Source organism: Homo sapiens, chromosome 2, assembly GCF_000001405.40.
Source record: "Homo sapiens chromosome 2, GRCh38.p14 Primary Assembly".
Classification (NCBI taxonomy): Eukaryota; Metazoa; Chordata; class Mammalia; order Primates; family Hominidae; genus Homo; species Homo sapiens.
Window position 1 is genome coordinate 71,376,839 of NC_000002.12, and position 12,722 is coordinate 71,389,560.

General features: G+C 36.8%; 1 protein-coding gene and 1 pseudogene across 4 annotated transcripts in view; one reads left to right on the plus strand and one right to left on the minus strand.

Moving 5' to 3' along the window:
- Positions 1-12,722, plus strand: part of ZNF638 (zinc finger protein 638) — a 103,280-nt gene that overhangs the window by 45,057 nt on the left and 45,501 nt on the right. For all 4 annotated transcript variants that reach the window (NM_014497.5, NM_001252613.2, NM_001252612.2 and 1 more), the window contains exons 9-10: positions 3,384-3,442; positions 3,675-3,727. In NM_014497.5, the coding sequence (NP_055312.2) occupies positions 3,384-3,442; positions 3,675-3,727 (112 nt within the window). The remainder of the gene's footprint in view (positions 1-3,383; positions 3,443-3,674; positions 3,728-12,722) is intronic.
- Positions 2,918-3,018, minus strand: RNU6-105P (RNA, U6 small nuclear 105, pseudogene; annotated as a pseudogene).

Below are 12,722 nucleotides of genomic sequence, written 5' to 3' on the forward strand. Positions count from 1 at the left end.
CCTCGACATCCATTCTTAGCAGTGATTCTTAAGTCTTTTTGAGCTACTCCTTGCCCCACCGTTACCAGTAATCCGATGAAAGCAAACATTCTTTTTTTCCCAGGGAAAGGGCCATATTCTCATACTTCGAAAGTTTTCTTTAAAGTATCAGGAGCCCAGTGCAGTGGCTCATGCCTGTAATCCCAGCACTTTGGGAGGCCGAGGCAGGATGATTGCTTGAGCCCAGGAGTTTGAGACTAGCCCAGGCAATATAGTGAGCTCTTATCTCTTCAAAAAATTAAAAAATTGACCTAGTGTGGTGGCACGCACCCAGCTGCTGGGTAGGGTGCGGTGGGAGGATCGCTTGAGCCTGGGAGGCGGAGGTTGGCTGGGTGACGGAGTGAGACCCTATCTCAACAAAAGGGAGCTGGGGGATGATCAGGAGCCCTTGATGTGGAAAAAAGTAGGATCAGATTTCTAATAAAACGCTTTCAGCCATGACATACTACTGCATTTCAACCTTGTGCAAAAAAAACAATTTTTAAAACTTCAATTCAGTGTTTTCAGCAAGATTCATGGGGACATTACAATTAAAACTGGAGCAAGTAGTCAACTAGGAATTGCATGGATATGAAAAATAATGCTGGGCGTTAGTGAATATTTGAGCATTACAGAAAATCTAATGAATTAACAAGGAGATAAAAGCGAAAATACGCAATCAGAATTTGGATGAGAGGTTTTCATTTTAATTCTGAAACTATTTCTTATTAGTTAAGCATCTGTTATGCCTCTGTTGTGTCAGGCATTGTAATATCTACAGAAGATGCAGTGGTGAGCAAGAGAGGTGTGATCCTACTCTTGGTGTGAAAGTTAAAAGAGTGAAAAATGATTAGAGGAAAGGCATGGTAGATATATTTAGAAGACACAATCTGTACATAAGTGGAATTCCAGAAAGAGGACATCATTTAAATTCTGAGGATTTTAAATTTCATGGTTATGGTGGGGCACCTTATAGTGATCTAGGCAGAAAACAGTTTAACTATACAAAGAAATAGTCTAGCCTTAGATTGCAAAGCAACACATTCTTAAGAGTTGGGTGGGAAAAAGATTATGATTCGTTGTAATTGAGTACATTCATTTCAAGTGGAATCCTAAGGTGTGTGTTAAGGCAGTATTTATTCTCAGACATGCATGGACTTAGAAGATATTTCACTAATACATCTTTTTCTAAAACATTAAAATGAAGATCTTAAGAAATGGAGAAGTTATTGTATAAAATGTTGGCGGTGAACAATGAAACCAGTTAAACATAGACTAAAATCTAAATAATCACATTTTTATAAAATAAATTTCAAAAAATATCACTTAAAATTACCAGAAAGATAATTTTCGTGTGAAATGTATAATCAAAAATTGGAATGTAGCCAAGGAGTAAAGGCTAAATGTTTCAACTTATACATCGGAACATAGTAGTTTCAAATTTCTTTTAAAATTGAAAATTACCATTAGTAGAATAGCACTAGAACTAATTTCTTCTAAATAATTGAGTTGAAGGAACATGTGGGATAAAATCCCATATAGTGCAAAAGGAAATGACAAGAGTGCCCAAAAAGAACAGAAAGTATGAAATTGCATGAGAACAGTTATGATGAAATTCAGATCAATTAACAAATACTTGCTGAATGTTTAAGCATGACTTTATGCACTGGGAATAGAATATTGAAGAACACAAAGTCTCTGGTATCACAGAGTTTTAACTTCAAGGGGTAGAGAGAGAAAGACCACAAATAAGTTAAAAATGCATATGTATTATGTTTGTTTTCAACAAGTGCTATGGTAAAAAAAAATTAGGAAAGGGGAATAGAAGTACTCTTGTTGGGGAATGAAGAGCTGTGCAACTTTCAGTAAGTTAGTTGGGGAAGATCTCATTGAAAAGGTGATATATGAGCAAACATTTGAAGAAGATGAGGGAACAAACCACGTCCTGGATTGAGAGCATTCCAGACAGAAGGAATAGCACCTGTCAAACCTATACCTTTGTAGCATCTTAGAGGAGTAGAAAGGATGCTTGGGGATGGAGTGAAGAAGTATAGGAAGGAAGTGTATTGTGGTTTGGGAGTTAGAAGGTAGGTAGAACATACGTTGTAAACTTTTAGAGGCCATTGTTAAGTACTGGCTTTTTTTCCTTGAGTCTAATGAGAGGTTTTGAGTTGTGGAACAGCAGGTTCAGTCTGGGTTTATGTTGTGAATAGAGAGTGAGTGAATGGCAAGGACTGAAGCAGAGACCATTACGAGGCGATTGTAGTAATCAAAGCAAAAGGTAGTAGTAGATTAGACCAGGGTGATAGCAGTTGAACTTTAGACATTTGAGATGTCACAGTGCTATGAGAAACCATGTTTTTGAAAGTTACAGTAGTTCCCGTTTATCTGAGGCTTGGCTTTGCAGTTTCAGTGGTCAGTTGTGGTTTGAAAATATTGAATAGAAAATTCCAGAAATAAACAACATGTTTTAAACTGTGCCCTGTTCTGAGTTAGCATGATGAAATTTCATGCAGTCCAACTCCAGCCCACTGGGGCTGTGAGTCATTGCTTTGTCTAGAGTATCCACATTTTATATGCTACCTGCCCACTAGTCACTTAATAGCTGTCTTGGTTATCAGATTGACCGTCACTGTATTGCAGTGCTTGTGTTTAACCCTCATTTTACTTAATAATGGCCCTAAAGTGCAAGTATGGTGATGCTGGCAATTTGGATATGCCAAAGAGAAGGGGAAAAATGTTTCCTTTAAGTGAAAAGTTGAAAGTTCTGGACTTAATAAGGAGAGAAAAAAATTGTATGCTGAAGTCGCTAAGATCTACAGTACAGTAAGATATTTTGACAGACCGTATTCACGTAAGTTTTATTACACTATATTCTTACAACTTATTTTTTTAATTTAAAATATGGAATGCCTAACGAATATGCGTGTCATCCTTGCGCAGGGGCCATGCTAATTACCGTATCATTCCAATTTTAGTATATGTGCTGCTGAAGGGAGCGTTTTTCTATTTTATTATTGTTGATCTTTTACTATGTCTAATTTATAAATTAAACTTTCATGTATATACAGGAAAAAAAACATAGTATATATAGGGTTCAGCACGAGCACGGTTTCAAGGCATCCACCAGGGGTCTTGGATAAGGAGAAACTGCTGTAGTTAATGATAAGAAAATGCAGATGAGTTGTGAAAGATGAGATGTAAAATTAGGCTGTGTAATCACAAATTGAAAAAAATGTCTTTATAAATAGGAAAAGGTAATAATCATGTGTCCTTTAGAATAGGAAGATTTTAGATTTTTGTTCTATATTTTCTAAATTGCTTTATACTAAATTTCTTTTGTTCAAAATATTTTTCCTACGTAGAACAAAGAGGTGAAGAAAAAGACTTTAGAGTCAAAGAAAGTATCTGCATCTACCTTAAAGTAAGTGACTTTATGATTTCATATGTGAGAATGAAATGTGCATATGACTTAAGAAATTTTAATTTTTAAAACCGCATTTTAAATATATTTTATCACTATAACTATAGTTTAAGAGGGATATCACTCCAGTTGAATTATTTTAAACGTTTTTAGGTTTAAATATTACATTTTTAGGATTTTGTAGAACTTAGAATTCCTAAGTTGCTGCTAAATTTTTTCTCCTTTTAAATAGAAGAGATGCAGATGCTTCAAAAGCTGTTGAAATTGTTACTTCAACTTCTGCTGGTAAGTTGTTACTTTTAATATTCTTTCAAATGAGTGTATCTTGTCAGTTTAGTAGAAACTTAGATGATGATGCTATGAAGACACTATTGTGCTTTAATGAAGGAGACCCAAATTACATTCTTTAATTGGCCCCTGTATTAAGCAGGCGGTTAATATTTAATGCTGTGTAATTACAGAATCACTTCTGGAGTAAATACAACAAATCTGTGAGATAATGTATGTGAAATAGCTATCGTAGTTCCACAGTTAATAGCTGTTTTTTACATGTTTAGGTTAGTTATGCAATATCTCCCTCCATCCCTTCCCGATAAACCCACAAGACACAAAACATAAGAAAGGTATGTTAAGAATGCTTATCTGGTCCTCTTTGATTTTGGAGGTTAATTGAGAGCCAAAAAGCAAGCAAAAAAGACTATCCAGAAATGGATGCTATCATACTCATGTACTAAAAGCTATTTCTTTATACTCAGGAAAATACTTGAAGCCATCATTATGAATCCAGTTAAATAAATTTTGCATACAGTTTTATAATCCGGGTTCTCCTTTTTCTTAGTCCATTTAGGACTAGAAAGGTGGAAAGTTTTGAGACTAGTACTAGTGAGAATAAACAGCTCGATAGTGAAAGACAGGAAAGAAAAGCTAAAATAAGGCAGAGACAAATTTAGGAACTTACATTGCGTTTTGTATGTTCTGTTTGGGGAAGGTAAAAATATAGTGTGTTGGTTTTTCTAACTGGAATGAGGTAAGAATTTAGGCACTAAGTTTTACTAGTGAGGTGAAAATTGGATTGTGGAATATCTCATTTCCCCGTAATGTTTAGTTGTATAGAGTATTGAAGTATTGAAGGTTAGCAGAGATACTATGAATGGCTTCTGGAAGGCAGTACATTTTGATTAAGATTTTAAATTAGGTAACATTATGTGAAGAGATAAAATGTGGAGGCAGAAGATTACTTCATCTGGGGGGCACACAACAACAAAGGTAACAAAGTTCAATTATTCTATTGAAGGCCTTGAAGGGTCATGCTGAGAAGTTTTCAAATTTGACCCCATTAGTAGCATTTTCAGAATGTGTCATGTTAAAGAGTAATTTCTGAAAGAAGTTTTGGGTAAAAAGGTTTGGGGTGTGTGTTATAGCTATTTTTTCTCTTTTGAAAAAATAATTCACAGAACACATTTTATGAAATCCTTCAGGAAAGAAACCTATTTAGCTTTGTTTAGTCCACTGTTTCCTAAGCTTGGCAAAAGTACACTCCATTTTTTCTGGATAAGAGCTAGTAAAAATTGGTACAGACTCTGGGAAATTGCAGTAGAGAATATGGAGCCACTCACTAATTGTTTAGGATTCTTATATAGATTGGATAAATTGGAGAGATGTAAAAATCCCACTGAGAAAAAACAGCTGGGCTTCACTTTGGGATGATGAGGACCTGATGTGAAAAAGGTTAATTTAAGTGATGTGAGGAGGTAAAATTTGCATTTTATTATATGGAATTTTTCAGTAAGTGAGTTTAAAAAATTTTTTAAATAATTATAAAATTTCCAAGTTTCAGTCCTGATAGGTTTTACTAAGAGTGCGATGATATTATTGATTACAATTGGAAAACTCACAGTGGTGCCTTTGAATTTGGGGTTAGGTCCTTAGATTTCAACATTACCAAGTTTCAGCTGTCACGAGTATCTGCTAGAGATATTCTTTAGTCAGCCAATCATATGGCATTGAAAGTGAGATACTTGGGAATTTTTTTAAGTTTAAGGTCTAAATTTTGGAAAGCTAAAATACTTCCTTGCAATATAAATGTAGAAAGAAAAAGGAGCCTATAAACAGGACTGAGAAAGTGACAGGTGAGAAAGGAAGGGTACTTGATAATTTTTTGAGATCCGCTCAGATTGAAGAGTGACAGGAAGAGTTAATTAGAGCAGTTTTAAGGATAAATTTGATTATAAGCACAGGGAGGAAGCAAGAGTGTAATTTGATCATGAATGGAAACATTCGAGCTCTTACCCAGTACTAATTAAAAAGAAAAATAGTAATTACTGAGTAGCTATTATATGCCCATGATAGGGGGCACTTTGTAGAGGCTTAGGATGTATCAGTGGACCAAATAGGCATGGCTGTCCCCAGACAGTTTACATTTTTAACTTGAGGTGACAAATATTAAATATAAAATAAACATTAAATAATATGAGTTTTAGAAAATGAGAAGTTCTGTGACACAAAGCTAAAGCAGAACCAGGGTAAAGGTGATGCAGGATTAGTTTGTTTTAAAGTTAGAATTTAGTGTACAAAATAAGGTAAAAATGACTTATTAAGTAGACAGACCTACTAACATAATCTGTACCAGAAGAGAGAAAACAAAGAAAAGAAGCCTCACATTTGTGGGTATGATATTTATGCTGGACACATGGGCACATAGTATATTTATGTTATTTTGTTTAATCTTTCAAACCGTTCTTTGAGTTGTAGTTAATGTTTGGCTGGGTGCGATGGCTTATGCCTACAATCCCAGCACTTTGGGAGTTTGAGGCGGGTGCATCACCTGAGGTCAGGAGTTCAAGACCAGCCTGGCCAACATGGTGAAACCCCGTCTCTACTAAAATACAAAGATTAGCTGTGTGTGGTGGTAGTAGTCCCAGCTACTCAGGAGGCCGAGGCACGAGAGTCTCTTGAACCTGGGAGGCAGAGGTTGCAGTGAGCCAAGATCGTGCCACTGCACTCCAGCCTGGGTGACAAGAGCGAGACTCCACCTCAAAAAAATATATTGTTCTCATTTTCTAGAAGAGATAGATTCAGAAAGGTTAAATGAGTCAGGGCCACATGGAGGAGTTAGAATTTGAACGCAAAACTTTATGATTCCAAAGCGTTGCATATACTAAATTACCTCCCTCAAGAATGAAAACTTCTTGATTTTCTTGGATCACTACTTTTCTCCAGCCTTTCTAGTTTTCCTAATAATCTTTTCCTCTTCTCATGTCATGCTTTTCTTCCTGGGTGGTTTTTTTTTTTTTTTTTTTTTCTTCTTTTATTGAGATGGAGTTTCACTCTGTTGCCTAGTTTGGAGTACAGTGGCATGATCTTGGCTCACTGCAACCCGTGCCTCCCAGGTTCAAGTGATTCTGCCTCAGCCTCCCGAGTAGCTGGGATTACGGGTATGCGACACTATGCCTGGCTAATTTTTCTTTTTTTTTTTCTTTTTCTTTTTTTTTTTTTTTTTTTAGTAGAGATGGGGTTTCACCTTGTTGGCCAGGCTGGTCTCAAACTCCTAAACTTAAGTGATGCACCCACCTCGGCCTCCCAAAGTGCTGGGATTACAGGTGTGAGCCACCATGCCTGGCCCTCTTCCTGGGTGATTTCTTTCCTGTCAGTCTTTAAGGACATCTCCCTTACGTACATAAACTCTTCTATCCCCTTGAGTATACTCTTCTCATTTTCTTATATTATTTAACAGTTACCACTAATCATCCGGTAGAGTAGTTCTTAACCCTGTCTTCTCTTTTCTTCTGTTCAACATAATTCAGATTTAGATAACATCCTTCCCCTTTTCAGCCAATCAGTGGCGGATCCATATTAGTTTTCCACTGACTCTACTTCAGCTCTCAAATTCTTTATATGTAGCTCCATCATGCCTGTAACTCCTTTTAATTCAGACCTGTCGTCTCACATTTGAACTTTGGAAGATAGCCTCCTGACTGGTATTTTTTATTCCATACTCTGCTTTATTATACACGTTGTTGCCCAGAGGTCTCTTTAAAGCAGATCTGATCATTCTACTTCTAGCAACCAGTGGAATAAAGTCCAAATTCTTTGGCTTTCCATAAATTATTCTTTGCCCTTTGACCCCAGATTATCTTTTGAACCTATTAACAGTCAACTGTGTATTATTTTGTAGTCACTCAGAATAGTTTATTTTCCATGTTACTTCATTCCTTGGTTCTTTATTTATGCTGTCTATTTGCATGGAATTGATGGCTGACTTCATTTAACTTCAGTAAGCACTTAATAGGTCGCAGGCAAGGTACTGAAGATAAAAAGTCAGTTAAGACTTCTTTTGGGGAGAGTTGGAGGACAGATTCTGATTTATCCTGTAAGGCTCATCTCTGATGAAACTTCCTTGATCGAATGATTTTTTTCTCTTGTTATGGCTTTTCTCTTTTTTAGAAATAATATGTCCCCTTTTCTTTTTACCTTTTCAGTTCCCAGCTGAAAATGACATTCTTTTAAATCTAAGTATAAAAGTAATGAATGTTTATTGTGAAAATTTTAAAATATTTCAGAAAATGTTTAAAGAAAGTGATTTACACCATTCAGAGATCACCTCTTGTTTATTTGCTTAAGTCAGTTATTTTCCCAATAAAAGCCCTTTGCTCACCTGTGGGAACTCCCACATGTGAGTTCCACCAAATCTTTCAGAAAGCAATATCGATTTCAGCTATACCATGGCATTCAGGAGAAGGGAAAGCTTCCTGTAAAAGGGGAAATGAGAAAAGGTGGGGGAACAGGCTAATACATCAAATACTGACAAAGACACTACACACCTATCAGAATGGCTAAAATAAAAAATACTGATAGCACCAAATGCTGATGAGTATGTAGAGAAACTCATACATTGTGTGCAAGAGCAATTGTGAAATAGTACAGCCATTCTAGAAAAGAGTATGACAGTTTAACTTAACAAAACTAAACACATGCTTACCATATGACATCACTTACACTCTTGGGCACTCATCCCAGAGAAATGAAAACTTAGCTCATACAAGGGCCTATACACGAGTATTTATGGGTACTTTGTTTATAATTGCCCCAAACTGGAAACAACCCAAATGTTCTTCAGTGGATGAATGGCTATTTTAAAAAGTTTTATATTATAAAATTTCATGTATATCACATTGAAATGAAATTACAGAGAGAGAACAGATTAGTGATAGTCAGGGTTGGTGGGAGGGAGGTGGCTATTGCTATAAATGGGTTTTAGAAGAGATCATTATGAAGGAACCATTCTGTATCTTGGCTGGTGGTAGTCACACTGATCTACACCTATGATAAAATTTCAGAGCTAAGTACACATTACATGTAAAATGAGTGAAATCTGGGTGTTGGTAGATTGTATCAATTGTGTCAGTTTTCTGTCTGTGATACTGTACTACAGTTATGCAAAGTGTTAACCATTGGAGGGAAACTGGGTGAAGGGTATATGGGGTCTCTCCTTTTTTCATACAACTCCATGTGAATTTACAATTATCTCAAAAGTGAAAGTTAAATATTTTTTAATTGCTGACAGCTTTCATAAAACTATAGAATTATATGTAGGAATATTAATGTTAAATTTTAGTGTAAAATTTTAACATATAGTGTCTGCGAGCACTTTGAATAATGGACTATGCACAAGAGAGGGTCGTATTGGAAGTATAAAGATGGTTCAAAATGAGGAAATCTGTTAATTCAATACTACCATATTAAAAAAAGAACATATGATCCTTTCCATAAATACTGAAAGGGATATTAACTTCAACATCCATTTCTAGCATTTAAAAAAGAAATCTTAGCATGGGCATCATAGTGAGACCCAGTCTGTATCAGAAATTAAGAAGTTATCTGGGCATGTTGGCATGTGCCAGCTACTTGCAAGGCTGATCTGGGAGGATTGCTTGAGCCCAGGAGGTCGACGCTTCAGTGAACTGTGATCGTGCTACTGTACCCCAGCCTATGCAACAGAGTGAGACCTTGTCTCAAAAAAAAAAAAAAAAAAAAAAAAGTTTCTTAAATTTATGATATGTATGTGTGTATATATACTTTTATTTATGCACACACATACATATACAAGTACACATATGTTAAAAGCCAGCATATGTTTAATAATGCATTAGATGCATTCCCATTAAGGTTGGGAACTAAACTGAGAATATGCATCAACACCTCTTTCAGTTAAAATAAATATTTTTTAAAACTAATAACCATTAACCAGTACAATGTAATTCAAGAGGCATGGAAATTGGAAAGTAGGATACACCGTTATTTGCAAATATGATAGTACGAAGGAAAACCTAAGAGAATCAATTATACAGTGCTATTTAATTATAATTACCCATCTTAATTCTCTAATATGTCATGTTTAATTGCTTTTTAAAGAAGAGCTCCTTATGTAATCTAATATTAAATAGTCCATTTATAATAATAAAAATGGTAGAAGTTATAAAAAGAAAACTAAAATATTAAAAGGCATAAAATGAGCCTTAAATGAAAAAATGGCATTCTTGGATAGAAAGCTTCACTGTTATAAGATGCCTTTTTTTTCTTTTTTTCTTTTCTTCTTTTTTTTCTGTTGCCCAGGCTGGAGTTCAGTTGTGGAATCTCAGTTCATTGCAGTCTCCACCTCCCAGGTTCAAGTGCTTCTTCCACCTCATCCTCCTGAGTAGCTGGTATTACAGGCCAGAGACACCTCATCCAGCTAAACCTTTTTTTTCTTTATACACTAAGTATAAAGAATAATAGCAATAAAACATTTTAAATTACATAAGCTGATTCTAAGTTTATATATTATAAGAAATTAACATAGAAGAATAGGCAGGACAGTTCTTTAAAGAAAACAATGAAAACAGACTATCCACAATAAATATTAAAATATATTACAAAGTTCGAAGATTTAGAGTAGTTTCATATAGTTACATAGACAAAAAGTAGGACAGAAGAGAGTCCAGAGATATTTCCCAAAACATACAAAACATCAGTAAATTTGTATGATAATATTTCGTTTTAGTTGGAAAAAGATCAATTATTCATTAAATTAGCTACTTTTTTTTTACTTTTGATAAAAGTAAAAGCACTTTGCTTGGTGCGGTGGCTGACGCCTGTAATCCCAGCACTTTCGGAGGCCAAGGTGGCTGGATCACTTGAGGCCAGGAGTTTGAGACCAGCCTGGCCAACATGGTGAAATCCCATCTCTACTAAAAATACAAAAATTAGCTGGGTGTGGTGGTGCTCTCCTGTAGACCCAGGTACTCAGGAGGCTGAGGCAGGAGAATTGCCTGAACCTGGGAGGTGGAGGTTGTAATGAGCTGAGATCATGCCACTCAGCCTGGGCAACAGAGCAAGACTCTCTCAAAAAAAAAAAAGTAAAAGTGCTTATATCAAACTGCAGTTGGATCAAAGATTTACTATGATACATAAGATGATAACAGTATTCTTTAAGTGTGGAGAATATTTTTTGTAAAATTTAGGTTGAGAAGTCCTTCCCAATCAGGAAGACATTTGACTACATAAAATGTATTAATGCATAAGTATTTTGAGTGACTTTAGAAAATTGTTAACCTATGTGTTAATTTTCTTAAGGAACTCTAATAAAAAATAAGAAGCCTCAACCCAAAAGATAAATTGGAAAATAGTATGATTAGGCAGATTATAGAGAAAGAAGTAGAGATGACTTTTAAACATATGAAGACGGATACAACTACACTTATAATTAAAGAAAAAAAAATCCTACCAGTTTCCATTTCACATTGGGAAGGTTGATCATTTCAGTTAACCATGTTAGGTTTTTGTAGGAGATTGGTCAGGGTGGTGGGAAAAGTTATAAGGAGAGACGCAAACCTTCTTGGAAGTCCTGGGAGGTTTTGCAAAGCTTCGGGAGAGAATAAAGGCTGAAGGCAGCTAAATTCTCTTACCCTGAGGCTAAGGGCAAGTAGTAGGTAACAAAGGAGTGTAAAGGAATTTATCTAGATAAGTTTATTTACTTTTGCCGACCTTTGATCATCCGACCTTTGATCATCCGACCTTTGATCATCTGACCTTTGATCATCTGACCTTTGATCATCCGACCTTTGATCATCTGACCTTTGATCATCCGCGTGCAGGACTGCTCCCTACAGGCGGGGGCAACAACTACCCACAGATTGTGTTGGCTCCAGGCCTTTGTCATTAAATCTGTACTAAATAAATACAAGCAGCTCCAGCTTATTGGGGCTGCGTTCTCTCTTCGGCGTCTCTAAGGCCGAGCAGTTTCCTAGCTGCGCTCACGCAAAATACCTGTGTCTGCGTACTTTTTTCATCCGTCGCTCGGCCAGAGTCGGTGGATCAGACTCAGCAGCTGGTGCCCCTCGTGAGGAACACTGCAAGGGATCACGACGGAACCCCCGAAAATGAAGGCGAAGAGACTGTGCAGTCAGTAAGTCATTGGTGCCCACTCGGGATATCCAAGTTCAGGGGAATTCTCAGACTAGAGTTTCATCATGAGACAACAGCTGTCCGCACAACAGAAACAGTATATAAAAGTATTGAAACAACTGCTTAAAGCTAGCAGAGCCTCGGTTTCACAGGCTCAGTTAAGGGTCCTAAGGCAAACTGTTGTTTCCCATAATCCATGGTTCCCAGCAGAAGGCATGCTGGACCTAGAGCTCTGGGAATAAGTGGGGAGAAATCTTAAACAATACCATAAACAAGGGCAACGGGTCCCAGTAACATCTTTAACCTTATGGGCCTTAGTTAGGGCTGCTTTGGCCCTGCTGTACACAGAAGATCCCAAGAAGGGAAGGGAGAAGGAACCATCACCTACCTTACCGCCGCCTCCTCTTCCCTCAGCCCTGCCATTACTGGGTAAAGATACCAAAGAGGAAACAGAGGTTTTCCCTGAGCCCCCTCCCCCAATAAATTGGAAAAAAGACAAGGGATACACTACAGCTGTGGGACCCTGTCTTAGGCAAGTGGCATTAGAAGGGGAGCTCTTAACCTGCCCGGTAATGCAAGATCAGCAAGGTACTCAGGTATATGAACCCATTTCTTTTGACGCTTATAAAGATAAGAAAAAGCATCAGAGCAAACGGAGCTGCTAGTCCATTTATGAAAGGATTAATTGAAGCCATAGCAGACAACTTCTGTTTGGCCCCATGGGACTGGTCAGTGCTAGCTAAAACAACTTTAGAGCCCAGTCAGTACCTCCTCTGGAAGACAGAGTATGATGAGTTGTATGAACAACAAGCCAACCAGAATCAATTGGCCGGGCAAA